We start from the raw sequence: 17252 nt of genomic DNA, 5'->3' as shown, positions 1-17252 counted from the left end.
GCCCGGAGAGAGGCAAAGCTTTGTCCAGGGTCACAGGGCGATGTGGAGGCAGGACGGCTTCCCAGTCCAGCCCCCTTCCCGTGTCAGCCCCAGGCCCAGCTGCAAGAGATTCTGCCGGGACCCTGGTCACTCCGTGGCATCGGCCCTGGCCTGTCAACCGCACCCACTGGCACATTTTACCCTGAAGCCCTCACTCCTGCCCGCCCCAGCCCCTCGACCTGTGGCCCTGGAACCCCAGGGTTGGCACCTTTTTGTCCTTCTGATACTTGCTCCACACGTCCTTGGTGAGGCCCGCGGAGGCCCCCGGGGGCCGGTCAGGTGGGATAACGCTATGGTGCACCAGCGCCGACAGGTGGGTCCGCACCGTGGACAGGTGGCGGCAGTGTGCCAGCCCTGCGGTGGGCAGCGGTGGGCAGCAGGAGGCTGGGACCCAGGGCCGCCCGCCCCCAGCCCGCCACAGCCCGGCGCGCCCCACACTCACAGCCGTAGAAGGCCCGGGACACGATCTGCCTCTTCATACTCTCACACAGTAGCCTGAGCGGCAACCTGTGGCAACAACCGGGCTCAGCAGGGAGGGGCTGCGGCCCCTCTGGTGGGAGGAGAGAGAGAAGGGAGGAGGCTCTGTCCTGGGGGGCAGGTAAGGCACTGGGGAGGGTGCGAGGAGGAGGAGCCGCAGCCCAGCAGCCGTCAGTGGGTGCCCTGTCCCTGCCTGCCACCTGGACAGAGTGCTGTGGGGCCCCCGCCTGGCCCCCAACCACCCAGGGATCTTGGTCAACGAACTTCACCTACATGAATCTTCGTTTCCTCATGTGAAAAATGGAGAGAGGCAGCGGAGGATCATCAGGATTAATAAACGGAAGACGAAGTAAAGGTAAAAGAGAACACCTCCCATAAAAGCCATTCACTCACTGCCCTGGCACACGGCAGGTGGCTGCTGAGTGTCCTCAGGTGGACGGCCTGTCAGCAGGGTCTGTGTGCACATCGGGAAGGGGAGCTCACGGGCACTGAGCCCATGATGTGCCGGCACAACTCCGGACCTTCACTTGGGTTCTCTCTCATTCTGTCCTCATAAGTACTGCAGGCAGCAAGTGGCATCATCCCCATTTTACAGATGAGGAAACTGAGGTTCAGAAACGTAGAGGCTCATGGTAATTCCATAACTTGTAAGTCACGTGGGTAGCAAAAGTGAAATTTGAACCCAGATCTGTCCCACTCTAGAGGCCACCCTGTCGTGCAGGTGACACGGCCTTTAAGGACAGACGGACACACACGTGGCTGGACACGCTAACGGGAAGCTGGGGCCGAGCGCTGCCCACTCACCGGTCGGGGATGCAGCTACAGTGGCTGGGGGTTGCATGTGGGGAGCTGCTGGAGGAGCAGGAGAGGCAGGAGGAGCCCTGACTGCACAGGGGCTCCAGGTGCCAGGCTGGCAGGCTGGGCCCAAAGCCCTGCATCTCGATCATGTCACCAGCGTCTGCGGGCAGGAAGGGTGGCATGGTCAGGGCCTGAGACACCTTCTCTCCCAGGCACCCTGCACCATGCCCACCTCTGTGCCCAGAGCTGCAGCATCAAGTCACCCATGGGTGGAAAATCACAGAGGTGGGGCCTGCCTGGTCCAGAGCCCAGAGATGGAAACGGTAGGGAGAGAGGGCGCCTGACACTTCCTAGCCTCCAGCAAGCCTGGAGAGGGGCGCAAGGCGTCCTTCTGCATGTGGTAAAATGCTTGGACTGAGTCTTGGATGATTGTGCCTAGCTCTATCCTGCGACCAGCAAGCACTTGCTTTTCTAGAGGGAAGGGAAAGAAAGAGAAGGAACAAAGACCTGAGCTCCTCAAAGCCACCAGCTAGCTCAGCCTTCACGGATTCAGCTCGGTCCTCTTGGCAAACTCTGAGATGCTCAAGGAGGTCTTTGGAATACTTCCAACTCTGAACGCTCCCCTCCAGGGAGTCCCCACTGTTCAAAGCCCCCGAGGAATCTGAGTCACCTGCCCGTAGGCCTGGCTCTTCTGGGGGAGTCTAGATCTGGTGGCCAGTGGCTACGGATGAGCAGTGCCCCGTGCCCAGGCCAGGTACCCCTGCTGTCAGCTCCTATGGCCCCTTTCTGAGCTCTGCTCCATCCCTGCCTAGCCTGACAGCAGTTAGCATGGTGGCCTCCCGAAAACACCAGGGAGCTGGATGGAAGTCACAGGTCCCAGGACTACGAGGCCACTGCGGGGCCGGGAGTGGTGGCTGGGCACAGAGGCCCACTATCCAATGTGACAGAGAAGAACAGGCCCAGTTGCAGCCTCAGAAGATGACTCCTTAGACACAGCTACGCTGCCAGCGACAGGGCCTGCCCAGCCAGCCCAGGCGGTCTGAATCAGAACTCAAGACCCTCGAGAGCTTCCACGGCCCACGTGGGGCAGGGCACTGCTTAAGGGGGACTCTGGCAGGTCCAGGGAGCCACAGACATGAAGCAAAGTGAGAGAGGAAGTGGAAGCACTGGGGGGTGATGCCGGGAGGGAGGGAGAGAGTGGAGAAGAGTTCGGAAGAACAGGGATGGAGAGCCGTGTGTGCTGAGGGAGTCCTGTCAGCAGCAGTTTGCTCGGCTGGCTCAGCCTGGGCCGGGGCCCACTGTGGCCTGCCGCAGGCGTGGGCCTGGCTTTGGTGGGAGCTGGACTCCAGCTCTGGGTGTGCCTTGGTGAGGAGGGCTGAGCTGAGCCCCTTCCGGTTCCCTCAGCGGTTGCCCTGCCTTGGCCGGGGCTCTCTTCCCAGACCCACGGCCGGGAGTTTTGCAGATATCTGGCCCTTCAGCTCCACCAGGAGGCAAATTAAGGGAACACGCGTGGTGAGGAGGGGCTGCGGCTCTGGGAGTGAGGGCGTTGCAAGCCATGCCTGAGACTCTGGGAAGAAGGGGAGGGTGCAGGTGCAGTGGGGCAGGAGCCCAGCTCAGGCCCCTGCAGCAGGCAGGAGAGAAGAGGACAGTCCCGGGAGGAGCCGGGGTGGGAAGAGGCCCAGCCAGGCAGGCAGCAGGCAACAGGCGGGCAGGCAGGGAGGGCAACAGGGGTGAGGGCGGGGGTGGGCAAAGGGAACCAAGCTCATGCCCAGAAAGGAGGCCCAGCCAAGGTCTCCTGGGCCAATGCTCTTCACCTTAATCCTCCAGGAAGGAGCTGAACCAGCCACATTCGAACACTGTCTCTGAGCGAGCCCAGTGCAGATAGCTGGGGCTATGGCGTGACTGGGTGAGGGCACAGGCTGGACGGGGGGAGGGGGGTCTGCTGGGTCAGCTTTGACTCTGACTCTCTCCTCTGAGCATGAGGAAAGTGTAAAGCAAGAAAACAGGGTGGGCGAACCCCACAGCCCCTAAGACTCCGAGTGAAAGGTGCCTGGCCTGGAGCAGAATTAGAGTGAATAGCATCTGCTCTGTGGGGAGGCAGCAGGAAAAGGAAGGGGAGAGGAAGAGGGAGGGAGAGGAAATTTGGACACCCCGCCACTGATTCACATGCACAAGTCAAGCATGTTGCAGGCCTGAAAAGCAACAGCTGGCAGAACGGACTCAACAGTGTTGTCATTATGGACTGGAGTGGAGGTGGGGGGCCCCCATTCCCCAGCCCTCTCCCCAACCGCCTGCTGATTCTGCTCTTATGCCTCCTCTCCTTTCCCAAGTATTAGGGGCCCAGAAGCTCTATACTAGGTTGGCCTAGCCCCTGAGTTCCTTGAGAGGATGCACAGATGAGCCCTGAGGCCTCTGGACCCCTGGAAGTGGGTCTGGAAGTTTCTCTGATCCCGGAGGCCTCAGCCCTAAGACTAGTCAGGGATAGGCTTTTTATCACCGAGTCTGCCAAGGGCTCTGCTAGGACCCTCCAGCCTCTAGCCTGACTACCAGTTCGTGGGGGAAGAAGTAGCTCCGTGGGTCCCCTCAGAGCTCAACCTTCCCACACTGCTCAGTCAGTTCACTGTAAATAGGCAACAGCCCCAAGTCCAGGTTTGCAAGAAACCAGATGGCAGGGGTGTGTGTAGGCAATAAACATCAGAAGTAGGATGTTCCCACCTAGGCCTGGCCTACGGGCTCATATTGGAAGGGCTGGGAGGGAGGGTGGGCATGAGGGCAGGCGCCTGGCAGTAGGAGGGCAGCTGGCAGCTTGTGCAGAGGGTGTGCTGGGTGTGTTCTAACACAGACCAGGCCGTCCTGCCTGCCCGGAGACAGTTACTGGATCAGTGGCCGGCTAAGGAACTGGGCTTCCCGGCAGAACTTTGGAAGCCTAAGGGGAGTGTGACATATTCTGAGGACATCCTCTGCAGGGGCGGGGAAAGGGAGAAGCAATTGATTTTGTAGCATGGGAATGGGTGGGAATGGGGAAGCTCCCCTCGTCTCTGGGAGAACTGGCCTCAGCCTCTTCCTACCCACCCCTTTCTGGAGCACCCATCCCAGCCCTCACAGGTCGCCTGGCTGATTGCTTGCTGAAAAGAGGGGGGCTCCCTCTCTACCAAGCCAGCTCTGTGCTAGGAAAGATGGGTGGTAGGCAGAGGAACCCTGAGAGGCTGAGGGCACTACGCTATCACCTCCAACAAAGGTGACCTCTCCATTCGTGGACCCTGAGACTCATGAGGGCAGGAACACATCTGTCTTATATCCCTGGCGCAGGTGAAGAGACGGAGCTCCGGGATAGTGAGAAACTTGCTCAAAACCACACAGTGAACCAGGGGCATATCTGGGGCGGGAGTTCATGTTGCCAGGCCCTGAGCCTGGCCCCTTCCTGGACACCATGCTGCAGCTATTTCTAGATTTCATGCCAAAGTACCAGGCCCTGCCGGCTGGGGCCCTCAGGCCTCCTGGGAAGACTGAGCCCTGGGGCCCTTCGCATGGCAGCCCTCAACCCCTCGCCTGACCCACAGCTGCTGCCCCTGCCCCAGGAAGGACCCGGTACCTCCATCCTGTTTCTGTTAAGTCAGGAGTCAGAAGCACCAGGCCCAGAGGCTGGTCTTCCCAATCAGCAGAGAGAAAGGAAGAGACCTCTGTCTGGCATTTGCCAGCCTGACCCCCGGAGTAGGAATGGGCTCAGAGATCCATTCAGGGTGCCCAGGAGGCAATCAGATAATCAGACCTTCCTATTAGCAAATCCTCTTCCTCCTCACAGCCTGGAGCCACCTGCCCTGGGCCAGCCCCTTTTCTTGCCAGCACCTGTCTGGCCTCCTTCTGCCCTCCCTGATCTGCCCCCGATGGAAGGGAACTGCCCTGGGTGCAAGTCCCCTAATGCCAACACTGCCGTTCGAACCCCTGTGGTGGGTGGCAGGCGGGCCCGGGAGGGAGGGTGGGGATGAGGTGGGTCAGGGAGAGGGAGGGATAAGAACCTTTCATCGGATTGGGAGCTGTGAGGTTCCGCGAGCAGATCATTGAGAGCATCGCGTGCAGTTTATCCTCCTCTTCCTCATCATCGTCCACCGAGGCCGCGCGGCTGGCCGCTAGGTGGTGGTAGTTAATAGTGACTGCTCAAAGAGAACAGCGAGAGGCAGAGGCATGAGGCCCTCATCCCTGGGCAGGACGGACTCCCTCCTTAAGGGGAGTGGAATGGAGGCCGGGGTCATCGTGAATCTGCAGGGCACAGAAGAGGGGAAGGGAGGGGACCAGAAAGCTCTTTGGATGATTTTCCTGGGAGAGTGTGGAAGGAGGCGAGGGGCTGGGGCAGCTGCAGAACCTCACTCTTCGGAGGCAGCCTCTCTAGGAAGAACAGAAGAGAGAGAACAGAGGTGGGAGGATGTGAAAGACCGGGACTGTCTGGGATGGGCTGGCAGCCCAGGAGGTCATCGGCCCTCACAGAGGCTGCGCATGACAGCTGGCAGATGGGTCCTGATCGTTCTCTAGCTCCTCTCAGGCTGGACCAAATCTGAAGATTACTCCAAATCCCCTTTTTCAGACTATAAATTCCACCTTCTTCCCTCCCAGGAAAAGGAAAGGGTTTTCCCAGAGCTGTCCTCAAGGAGCTGGAGTCGCTTGGTGGAGTTTCAGCCTCTGGGTGCCCTGGCTTGCCCTTGGCGAGGTGGTCCTGGAAGTGAAGTGACCAGGACTGGGAAATGGCAAAGATCGAAGAGGGGAGGCAGAGACTGGAGAAGCTAAACCAAGCAACAGCCTGAGACTAAGTGCCAAGTGTGTAAATACATTCTGGCCAAAGATGCGTCTCTTTGTCAGGTACATCTGGGAAGGGGGGACATCCCTGTGCCGTGTGCCCTCTGAGCCTGGTGGAGCTATCTGTGCTGTGGCTGAGTGTGCCGTCTGGGCAGTCCGGTCCCTAATACAGAGACAACTTGTTGACAACTTTTTGGCACAAGTTGGAAATTTAGGGAGCGGGTGGTCTTGTTAGCAATAAACGCTCTGGGCTGGCAAATTCCCCGACCTTATCTGTAAGAAAAGCAAGTCTGCCCAGAGAAGCCTATGGGCAGCAGCAGCACTCTGACCAGAAAGGGAACTTTGGTGTTGGTAGATGCACATAGACAGAGAGACCCCCTTGGGCCCAGGGGTGTGTGTCCAGGGTGGGGCAGGACCCACAAGGGCCAAGCCGCCTTTCTACCCGCCAGTGCCCAAAGCCCCCAGGCAGCCCCGAGTCTGCCTCTGATGCAACCTGCTACTTCAGCTAACGCTCATCAGTAGTTGGTTTGAGGAGGGCTCTGGCTCTAGGGGAGTCAGCAGACAATATTCACCATCCAAAAAGAAGCGCTGGGCCGGGCGCAGTGGTCACGCCTGTAACCCTAGCACTTTGGGAGGCTGAGGCAGGCAGATCACAAGGTCAGGAGTTTGAGACCAGCCTGGCCAATATGGTGAAACCCCATCTCTACTAAAAATACAAAAATTAGCCGGGCATGGAGGTGTGCGCCTGTAATCCCAGCTACTCAGGAGGCTGAGGTAGGAGGATCGCTTGAACCCAGGGGCAGAGGTTGCAGTGAGCTGAGATCACGCCATTAAACTCCAGCCTGGGTAAAAGAGCGAGACGTCGTCTCAAAAAAAAAAAAAAAAAAAAAGTAGCGCTGGTCCCATACCCAGGCTGTCTTGTAGGGGTTGGGGAGCAGGAGGTGAAGAGCAATGGAGGGTTCCCCACCTTCTACTTCTCGTTTCTCCACGTGTTTTACCCCTGGACAGGGTCTGAAAGGATAACTAAGAGTCTTGTGTAGTGACGCCTAGGTCTGCTGAGCCAAGAGTCCTGGCGTGGAGAAGTGGGGAAGGGAGCTGGGTAGAAGAGACGCACCTTTTCAAAGGCAATATCTGTGGGTAAAAGGTCCAGCTGAGAGGCTAGGCGATGAGCCTCTGGTGTTAACCTGGCCTGGTCAGTGGGCCCTGCCTGCTGCCCTCCTGGGTGACGCTGCGCTCCCCGCCTCCCAGAGCGTCTTCCTCTCCTCCCCCGGGATGAAGCTCGGGACACTCACTGTGCTCGTGCCTGTGGCCGGGGTAGATGATCCGGAACACATAGTCGGTGGCCCGCCCCGTGCCCATCTCCTCCATATCCACGGAGCGAATGCTGCTTCGTTTCCGTAGCTTGGGGAACACTTTCCCCTGTGGAAGGAGGGGTAGGTGGTCGGGCTGTATAGGGCAGAGTCTCATCCAGGGTTCCACACAAGGCCGCTCCTAAGAACTCCACGTGGGGAAGGAAGGGAGGCGGGCAGAGAACCCCACACACAGCCCTTCCCCTAAAGCCTCCCACCCGAGTTACCTTCCCTTGCTGGGTCCACAGCGGGGGCTCTAGCTGTCCCCGAGGCAGCAGCCCATTCTCCAGACAGGACAGAAAGGACAGCAGGTGTCCTCCCTGTGGGAAATGCAGCGGCGGCCTCTGGATGCCATCCTGGCTCACCAGCACAAGCGTGCCACCGCTCTCTGGGGGTGAACGTGGAGAGTGCGGCTGAGGCCCTCTCGTCGGCTATCACACCCTGCTGGCCAGTGCCCCCAGGCTGGGTAGGAGGCAGATGGCTGGGCTACAGCATGGCCTGGGAGCCCCATTAACAAGGATGGGAGGAGGACGAGGAGTCTTACAGGCCCCACGCACAGTGCACAGCTGGCAGAAGGCAGCCTCTCCCTTCCCACCCGAGCCGAGGACAAGGCAGGCTTACTTTGCTGGTGGCAGTGGATGCACACGACCTGGCTGAAGGGCACCACGAGGGCATAGTCCCAGTAAACGCTAGAAAGGAACCAGACTGCTGTCACTGTGTCCAAAGACCTGCCATCCTTCCTTCCTTCCTTGTCTCCTGGTCCTACCACCCCACGAAACTCCCCTGAAGATAGGATGACCATAGCCAAGAGGTGCACACAGCCAGCCATGACCCCTGAGATCTGTGCTGCCCGCTCGGCACATGGACAGCTGTCCGTCTCAGCCGCTGAGAGCTTGGCTCAGACAAACCTCTTCACGGCCAGGCTTGGCTCCGTCCTAGAGAGCTTGGGAATCACTCCAGGCAGCCGCTCCCTGCTATTCTTGGCGTCCAAATAAAGAGTGAGGTTGGCCTCCTGGAGCAAGCGGGGTTTCTCCATCCCTCTGCCTGAGGTCAAACCCACTCCCTGCCCTGGCTCCTGGGATTGAGTCCCAAAGCCCCCACCTCTTTTCCAGCTCGGAGTCCCCCAGAGTCCCATTCATGAGCTGGTTGGGGGTCCACTTCAGAGTCAGGCTCTCTGCAGACTGGTGCAGGGAGAGGTAGCCAGGGACCGCCTCCATATCCTCCTTCTACAGCGGGAGACACCGGAAGACCGACGATGAAGGGCTGAGAGGCTCTCAGGGATGGCCTATGAGAAATGAGCTCCCGCTGGGAGGAGGGGAGGCCAAGCTAGGCTAGTCACGGGGTCCTGGACTAGGGACGGGGCAGAAGCACAGGAAAACAGGACTCAGTTTCCCTGGTCAGCCTGGTGCCACTGACTCTCTCCTGCCAGCCTCCTGGATGCCAGGTCCATTCCAGGCCAGCCATACCCACACTGCGGACTCCCCTCGCCTGCTGGCTGCCATTCCTGTCCCCTGCCAACTAAAGGCTGGGCGTGAGTCGTGTGAAACAGGGAGTTGGGAGGCTGGGGCCATTCTCCCCCCCGTCTCTGGTCAAGCTCCTCAGGAAAGGAATAGCCATGGCTAGAGGCTTCCAGTCGTCTCGTTCGGGGACCTTCGGGGAGGGATGGCAGGATGAAGCTTTCCTACCGGCTGCACCAGCACGTGGTTCTTGCCATAGAGCAGCCGCGTCCGTGAGTTCTGGTGCAGGGACTCCACACACTCGCGGGCACAGGCAGCCAGCCTGTCCTCCGACGCGCTGCCGCTTGAGTGCCGTTTCCGGATCTGTGTGGAAGGCCGGGGCTCAGCCTCCAGCCTTGGGAAACTGGCCTCAAGGCTTGGGAACCCTCACGCTTCCATGCTGACCCTCTCCAGCTGACCCCAGGGGTCCTTCCTGCCCCGGTTTACTCCCAGCCACCCTCTGCTCTCCAGCCACGGACCAGCATGGGCTCCCGGCATTTGTGTTAAGTTTTATTGTGCGGAGAAGGCTCTTCTGAGGCAGCCGCTACCTTGGGGCATCTCCAAGGCCTGTCCCGTAGAGAGGCCGGTTTCCCGTCCCTACAGGCCCATGGGCATAGCCCAGATGAGCCCAAAGGGTGGGGAGGGGGCACCTACCCCCAGGGCTGGGCGCTTTGCAGGGGAGTCCTGGCGAGTAGGTGGACCCCGGATGCGGTGCCGCTGGACCAGCTCATCAGCAGAGGGGTCAGTCCAGTAGTGATCGGCTGTCTTGAGCTTAGTGTATTCCAAGGCACAGGGTCCCACTGTGGAGACAGAGACAGCCAGCCCAGACGATGCTCCCTCAGCACCTGCCCCGTACCCACTGTGCCTGTGCTCTCAGGCTCACCTAGAAGAGAGGCCAGGATCGGGCCGAACACAGGGTCTGCCAGCAGTGCCTCCTTCTCGTAGTACTTGCTGCCAGGAGACAGACAGTGTGACTGCCGAGGCTCCGGGGCTCATTCCAGGGCAGTCAAGCTCACCAGGTAGGGACATCCCCACAAAGACCAGATTCAGATCAGTCATCAAGAAACAGTGAGTCCTTAGGGACTGGGCTTCGTGAGGTGCCTGGTATGGCCAATGCCTTGAGGGCACCGAAGGGGACGGGGAGATGGAGGGTTGCCTACAGGCTGTCACGGACAGGCAAGCATCCTGAGGGCTGGGGCTGAGGGACGTCGGGAGACGGGTCAAGGGAGGGGCTGCTTGGGGAACGAGGCGGTCACCTGCAGTTTTTGGGGAACGGGGCGGTCACCTGCAGTTTTTGGGGAACGGGGCGGTCACCTGCAGTTTTTGGGGAACGGGGCGGTCACCTGCAGTTTTTGGGAACGGGGCGGTCACCTGCAGTTTTGGGGGGAACGGGGCGGTCACCTGCAGTTTTTGGGGAACGGGGCGGTCACCTGCAGTTTTTGGGGAACGGGGCGGTCACCTGCAGTTTTGGGGGGAACGGGGTGGTCACCTGCAGTTTTTGGGGAACGGGGCGGTCACCTGCAGTTTTCCGCCAGGTATTGCACGACCTTGTCCAGAACTTTCTCGATGAGCGCCGTGCGTACCCATACGTGTTTCAAGGCCTGAGGGCTGAGGGCCGGGGCCTTCCCGCTGGCTGAGCCCTGTCTCCGCAGGGCCTCCTGGCTGACCCCTGAGGGTTTCCTGCAAAGGCGGGGAGGGCTCCAGGAGTGCAGTGGTCTAGGGGTAAACCCCAGAATGCTGGCATTGGGAGTGGGGCTTGGTACCCCAAGATGGGAGCACAGAGAACTGACTGGGGTTGGGAGGTGAAGGAGGGGTACAGAGCCTTGTGCCCACAAGGAACCAATCCCCTCCCTCAAGCTGATCCCTCACCCAGAGGCCCTGCAAGGAACAGGCCCAGGATGCCAACTTTCCGATGGGTGTCCTAGGAAGTAGCAATTGCCAAGTGGGAAGAGCTGAAAGGAGGGAAGAAGGGGCTGGCCCAGGGCTCACCTGCCCTCTGCTTGTTGCTGCAGCTCCTGTACCTTGTGGCAAATCTCCCCCGCCACTGGGCACGTCTTCCCCACCTTGGTGAACAGGGCTGCCATCTTGTCACTGCGCAGGAAGCCAGCGGCACGGCGTCTCAGCTGATGCAAGAGGCAAGCCTCCACTGCACCTAGGCCACAAAGGGAAACGGCATCTGAGCCTGGGAAAGACGGGGGAGCAGGAAGAAAAGCTCCTCTTCCCCATACCTGTGGTGAGGCAAGGGGTAAGGGCAAGCCAAGGGCAGGCCAGGGAGATACCCTGGCTTCCTTCCAAAATTCCCCTCCCCGTCCCTCGGCTCCTGCCCGGGGCGAAGAGCTTTGACATGCCAAGCTGTCCCTCTCCCTCGCCTGGTGCGCACACACCTCCTATATGCAGCCTCACCCCTGGGGGTCATGAGGACCAAAGCTCCCCATTCAGGGTGGCATGAGTGGCTCCAAACCTGACAGCAAGGCACAGCACCTACAGGACGGGGATGTGAGGAACACCCGACTCGGGAGCCTTTCTGGAGGGCACGGAGGATGCGGTTGCTAAGGAACAGGGCTCTGCAGGAGCTAAAATATTGATGAAGTCACTGCAGAGCTTGGACCCGACAGTGGCCGCTGGACTGATGAGCCCAGCAGCTGAGGGAGAGATTTCTCTTTTCCATGCTAGGAGGGCTTCCCTCCATTCATTCATGGTTTAGGGTTAGGCTTAGTCTCTGTCTGGACTTTCCACAGACAGACCCTGCAGGAAGAAAAGAAGGGCTTGGTAGGAGACAGTAGGGAGCTGCCCTGTGCCCAGACAGACTCTAAAGACAGGAGTGTGTATGTGTGTGGGGCGGAGAAGCTTCTACATGATTGGGCCAAACTAACAGTTTTACAGGTGAGGAGGGAAAGGCCCAAAGAGGGGAAGAAACTCGATCACAGTCACAACATGGCAGAGCCACCAGGATGAGGACCCAGGGCTCCAAGCCTCGGCCCGAGCCCCTTTTGCCACGTCCAGGTGTGTCTGGTTGGGGGCAGGGACACTGAGGGGAGAAGGAGGTGGTTTTTTCACACGGACTGGAAACAGTGAGCTGTGCTGGAGACAGTCAGACAGAACAAAGTCTGAGCTTGGCACGGTCACTTGCTCTGAGACTCAGTTGTATCCTCTGTGAAATGGGAAGAGGGCTAGTGTGAGATGTCACATGAGACGGAGGATGTGAAATCACCCATGCGGGGTCTGGCTCTCAGGAGGTGCTGGGTCTAGGTCAGTTCCTGACTCCTCACCCTGTTGGTTCAGATACAGTTCTACAGCTAGCCTCTAAGAGCTGGCTTTCAGCAGGACCTCTCCCCGACAGGGACAGGAAGAGGGTGCACTGGAGAGACGATCCAAGGCTGCCCCAGAAGTGGGTGGAGACAGGGAAATTGAGGTCTGTCAAGGTTTTTTTATTTTTATTTTTGAGACAGGGACCCACTCTGATGCCCAGGCTGGAGTGCAATCGTGGAATCTCAGCTCACAGCAGCTGAGAGCTGACCTCTGTGGTTCAGGTGATTCTCCCGCCTCAGCCTCCCGAGTAGCTGAGACTACAGGCACACACCACCATGCCCAGCTAATTTTTGTATTTTAGTAGAGACGGGGTTTCGCCACGTTGGCCAGGCTGGTCTCGAACTCCTGACCTCAAGTGATCCGCCCGCCTCGGCCTCTCAAAGTGCTGGGATTACAGGCGTGAGGCACCGCGCCCGGCCCACATGGGGAAATCTTTGGCTTAAGCGTCCACATGCTCCTCTCCATGATCATTCCCCCTGGTCCCTGGAGGTCTTGTGTGGCCCTGGGATATACAGGCGAATGACCCTTTTGTCCCAGTCTCTTGGTCCTGGGCTGCTGCAGCTACAATTCCGTGCCTGTGGAAAGGGGGTGATCATTTCCTGGGGTTGCACTTCCCATTCAGAGTGGGGAGAGAAGCAGCACTGAACAGGACAGAGGGGCAGCAGGTGGCACATGTCCTGCACGGATCACATGCCTCAGTGGTGTGATTAATTGCCGGGATAATGAGTCATTCGCTTCCCCACCTTCCCTAGGCGACCGCAAAAGCAGCCAGGCCGTGGGGACTGGGGAGTGGCCGGCCCCAGCACTCCCATCGGGGTGGCCTCGCCTACCTTCCCGGCCAGCCTCTGAGCACAGCCATGGGGTTCTCTCGGGTGAGAGGAGGCATTCCTAAGCAATTACTGCAACTAAGGAATACTGAGAGAAGCCAGGCATCACGCTCAGTCCCCCCTTTACCCCACGGTCCCTAATTTCCTTCTGTGCAACCCAGGCAAGGTGCCAGGCAGTGTCTGGGGAAGGAGAAATCCCTCTCATGCATCGACTTTCCAAGCTAAGACCAGTTAGGCCATTAGGCCAGGCATTACTGACTCAGCTCTGTGGGCTCCCGGCCAGTAACTGTTCACACTGCACTTGTCCTATGCCATGCCCACAAGGTGTTCCCCACCGAGAGTGTGCACGTGTGATGAATATGTTATCGCGTGCAGTGTGCAGACAAAATAATAATAGTGACACCACTACTTGAGAACTATGGCCCCGAGAGGACTTTGTGAATGGGCTTCTGGGGCTCCAAAAACTCCCTCCCTGGGTCTGGGCGCCGTGGCTCACGCCTGTAATCCCAGCACTTTGGGAGGCCGAGGCAGGCGGATCATGAGGTCAGGAGATTGAGACCATCCTGGCTAACACGGTGAAATCCCATCTCTACTAAAAATACAAAAAATTAGCTGGGCGTGGTAGGGGGCACCTGAAGTCCCAGCTACCTGGGAGGCTGAGGTAGGAGAATCACTTGAACCTGGGAGGCAGAGGTTGCAGTGAGCCGAGATGGCGCCACTGCACTCCAGCCTGGGGGAACACAGCGAGACTTTGTCTCAAAAAAAAAAAAAAAAAAAAACAACAACAACAACAAAAAAGAGCCCCTCCCTGATATTGGGAGCAATTTGAATGCAAATTGTTGAGGTGCTCTAGAATGATTAGGAGAGTGCTTTTTTTCCTGGATAGTAGGTCTGTGGTTCTCAGCTTCTGACCCAAAAAAGATTAAGAAGCCGTTTTTTTTGAGACCGGGTCTCACTCTATTGCCTGGTCTGGCGTGCAACGGTGCAACCACAGCTCACTGCAGTCTCAGCCTCCTGGGTTCAAGCCATCCTCCCACCTCAGCCTCTCAAGCAGCTGGGACTACAGGCTTGGGTCACTAAGCTTGGCTAATTTTTAAAAATTTTTTGTAGAGACTGAGGTCTCACTATGTTGCCTAGGCTGGTCTCCAATGCCTGGCTCAAGTGATCCTTCCACCTCAGCCTTCCAAAGCGCCGGCATTACAGGCTTGAGCCACTGAGCCTGGCTCTGAGACTTCTGAGTCGAGCAGAAACCCAGGCATTGTCACTAATTGAAACATACATGGAGACATAAACACATGCCATCCCGCATCTAGTGAATACCACACTCAGAACTGCCTGCAAAGCCGGCAGCAACAGTGTCCTCCTTCCCCGGGGACGTGTCTCACAGACACGGGACGGTGAAGGACCCTTCCCCAGGGAGAGTCCACATGACGGCCCAAGCTTATCCCCCGTTCTGACTGGAGGCCCAGAGCACCAAGCAGAACTCCAGGGCCTTACTCCCCTTACTCCTTCCTTCCCCAGGTCCCCACTGTGACCCCACCTCCCAGGGTGGAGGGTGGTGGCAGGAGATACTTGCAGGGCTAAAGCACCAGGTTAGCTGAACCTACCTGCCTGCTGACTGAGCTGTCTGGGCCCTGGGCTCCCACCTGTGAAGGCTTCAGGACCCCTGATCCAGTGGGTCCCAGCACCAGCTACGGCCACCCTGGGTGCACCACCACAAGGTGATGACCCTGACATTATTTGGCTTATTTCATATGAGAAAAAATGTGGACTAATTAATAAAAACCAACACTGGTTGGCATGGAAAGGTTTGGGCAAATGAATCAAAATGGAGAAGAGAGAAACATGACTTTAGTGGCTGGGCATGGTGGCTCACACCTGTAATCCCAGCACTTTGGGAGGCGAGGTGGGCGGATCACCTGAGGTCAGGAGTTCGAGATCAGCCTGGCCAATATGGTGAAACTCCGTCTCTGCTAAAAATACAAAAATTAGCCGGGTGTCGTGGTGGGCACCTGTAGTCCCAGCTACTTGGGAGGTTGAGGCAGAAGAATTGCTTGAACCTGGGAAGCAAAGGTTGCAGTGAGTTGAGATCGCGCCATTGCACTCCAGCCTGGGTGACAAGAGCAAAAACTCCATCTCAAGAAAATAAAATAAAAAGAATAATAGTCTCCAATCCCATCCAGGTTGCTGCGAATGCCATGAATGTATTCCTTTTTATGGCTGAGTAGTATTCCACTGTATGTATTTATCAGTTTCTTTATCCACTCGTTGAATGATGGGCATTTGTCACCCTGGTTTTCTGGTGGCCTTTGGAGTCTGGGCCAGCTGAGCCCAGGTACATTCTCTACCCTGTCAGCCCATCCCATCCTGCTGACAGCAAGGCTCAAGGAACTGCAACTCTGAGTGGGCAGGAGCATAACTGCATTTAACTCCAGCACACTGTTGGACACCCCTACAAAGGTCTGGAGCCATCTTCCCAGGGAAAGGCCAGGAACTACAGACCCAGACTAGCCCTGGGGCTCCCTTCACCAGCCCCGATGTGACCTCAAAGCCATCAAGTTCTGCAGCCTAACAAATGCTACACACGGCTGGAGACCACAGATGCTGATGGAATCCTATGGGCACCCCAACCCTTACACCCCAATTCCACCATTCTAAGATATGGGGTCCCTTCCCTAACCCTTACACCCCAATTCCACCATTCTAAGATATGGGGTCCCTTCCCCCAACCCTTACACCCCGATTCCACCATTCTAAGATATGGGATCCCTTCCCCAATCCTTACACCCCGATTCCACCATTTTAAGATATGGGGTCCCTTCCCCAATCCTTACACCCCGATTCCACCATTTTAAGATATGGGGTCCCTTCCCCCAACCCTTACACCCCGATTCCACCATTTTAAGATATGGGGTCCCTTCCCCAATCCTTACACCCCGATTCCACCATTTTAAGATATGGGGTCCCTTCCCCCAACCCTTACACCCCGATTCCACCATTTTAAGATATGGGGTCCCTTCCCCAATCCTTACACCCCGATTCCACCATTTTAAGATATGGGGTCCCTTCCCCCAACCCTTACACCCCGATTCCACCATTTTAAGATATGGGGTCCCTTCCCCCAACCCTTACACCCCGATTCCACCATTTTAAGATATGGGGTCCCTTCCCCCAACCCTTACACCCCGATTCCACCATTTTAAGATATGGGGCCCCTGCCCCCAACCCTTACACCCCGATTCCACCATTCTAAGATATGGGGTCCCTTCCCCCAACCCTTACACCCCGATTCCACCATTCTAAGATATGGGGTCCCTTCCCCCAACTCTTACACCCCGATTCCACCATTCTAAGATATGGGGCCCCTGCCCCAACCCTTACACCCCGATTCCACCATTCTAAGATATGGGGTCCCTTCCCCCAACTCTTACACCCCGATTCCACCATTCTAAGATATGGGGTCCCTTCCCCAACCCTTACACCCCGATTCCACCATTCTAAGATATGGGGTCCCTTCCCCCAACCCTTACACCCCGATTCCACCATTCTAAGATATGGGGTCCCTTCCCCCAACTCTTACACCCCGATTCCACCATTCTAAGATATGGGGTCCCTTCCCCAACCCTTACACCCCGATTCCACCATTCTAAGATATGGGGTCCCTTCCCCCAACTCTTACACCCCGATTCTACCATTCTAAGATATGGGGTCCCTTCCCCCAACCCTTACACCCCGATTCCACCATTCTAAGATATGGGGTCCCTTCCCCAACCCTTACACCCCGATTCCACCATTCTAAGATATGGGGTCCCTTCCCCCAACCCTTACACCCCGATTCCACCATTCTAAGATATGGGGTCCCTTCCCCCAACCCTTACACCCCGATTCCACCATTCTAAGATATGGGGTCCCTTCCCCAACCCTTACACCCCGATTCCACCATTCTAAGATATGGGGTCCCTTCCCCCAACTCTTACACCCCGATTCCACCATTCTAAGATATGGGGTCCCTTCCCCAACCCTTACACCCCGATTCCACCATTCTAAGATATGGGGTCCCTTCCCCCAACTCTTACACCCCGATTCTACCATTCTAAGATATGGGGTCCCTTCCCCCAACCCTTACACCCCGATTCCACCATTCTAAGATATGGGGTCCCTTCCCCAAC

General features: G+C 57.7%; 1 protein-coding gene and 1 long non-coding RNA gene across 28 annotated transcripts in view, besides 3 other annotated features; one reads left to right on the top strand and one right to left on the bottom strand.

Moving 5' to 3' along the window:
• Nucleotides 1-17252, bottom strand: part of SGSM2 (small G protein signaling modulator 2) — a 43554-nt gene that overhangs the window by 8319 nt on the left and 17983 nt on the right. For 11 of the 27 annotated variants that reach the window (XM_011524101.4, XM_011524102.4, XM_011524103.4 and 8 more), the window contains 13 exons: nucleotides 10937-11099; nucleotides 10466-10627; nucleotides 9831-9898; nucleotides 9602-9747; nucleotides 9137-9271; nucleotides 8553-8677; nucleotides 8073-8140; nucleotides 7679-7839; nucleotides 7395-7521; nucleotides 5331-5465; nucleotides 1321-1474; nucleotides 482-546; nucleotides 248-393 (listed from right to left, as the gene is read on the bottom strand). In XM_011524101.4, coding sequence (XP_011522403.1) covers nucleotides 248-393; nucleotides 482-546; nucleotides 1321-1474; nucleotides 5331-5465; nucleotides 7395-7521; nucleotides 7679-7839; nucleotides 8073-8140; nucleotides 8553-8677; nucleotides 9137-9271; nucleotides 9602-9747; nucleotides 9831-9898; nucleotides 10466-10627; nucleotides 10937-11099 — 1655 coding nt within the window. The other 16 variants (XM_011524105.4, XM_017025474.3, XM_017025475.3 and 13 more) reach the window with 8 other exon arrangements.
• Nucleotides 1081-6361, top strand: LOC101927864 (uncharacterized). The gene is made up of 3 exons (XR_007065577.1): nucleotides 1081-2826; nucleotides 3142-3220; nucleotides 5923-6361. It is a non-coding gene; the product is annotated as an uncharacterized LOC101927864 (long non-coding RNA).
• Nucleotides 1595-2178: an enhancer, noted in NCBI's record as "H3K27ac-H3K4me1 hESC enhancer chr17:2273852-2274435 (GRCh37/hg19 assembly coordinates)". NCBI's record gives its function as "activates a minimal SCP1, AML or CMV promoter by ChIP-STARR-seq in primed H9 embryonic stem cells {active_cell/tissue: H9 hESC(primed)}" and the evidence as "EXISTENCE:reporter gene assay evidence [ECO:0000049][PMID:30033119]".
• Nucleotides 2179-2761: an enhancer, noted in NCBI's record as "H3K27ac-H3K4me1 hESC enhancer chr17:2273269-2273851 (GRCh37/hg19 assembly coordinates)". NCBI's record gives its function as "activates a minimal SCP1, AML or CMV promoter by ChIP-STARR-seq in primed H9 embryonic stem cells {active_cell/tissue: H9 hESC(primed)}" and the evidence as "EXISTENCE:reporter gene assay evidence [ECO:0000049][PMID:30033119]".
• Nucleotides 2762-3346: an enhancer, noted in NCBI's record as "H3K27ac-H3K4me1 hESC enhancer chr17:2272684-2273268 (GRCh37/hg19 assembly coordinates)". NCBI's record gives its function as "activates a minimal SCP1, AML or CMV promoter by ChIP-STARR-seq in naive H9 embryonic stem cells {active_cell/tissue: H9 hESC(naive)}" and the evidence as "EXISTENCE:reporter gene assay evidence [ECO:0000049][PMID:30033119]".

The sequence above is a fragment of the Homo sapiens genome, chromosome 17, assembly GCF_000001405.40.
Source record: "Homo sapiens chromosome 17, GRCh38.p14 Primary Assembly".
Classification (NCBI taxonomy): domain Eukaryota; kingdom Metazoa; phylum Chordata; class Mammalia; order Primates; family Hominidae; genus Homo; species Homo sapiens.
Note: the sequence above shows the minus strand (reverse complement) of the source record. Positions and strands in the feature narration are given on the sequence as shown.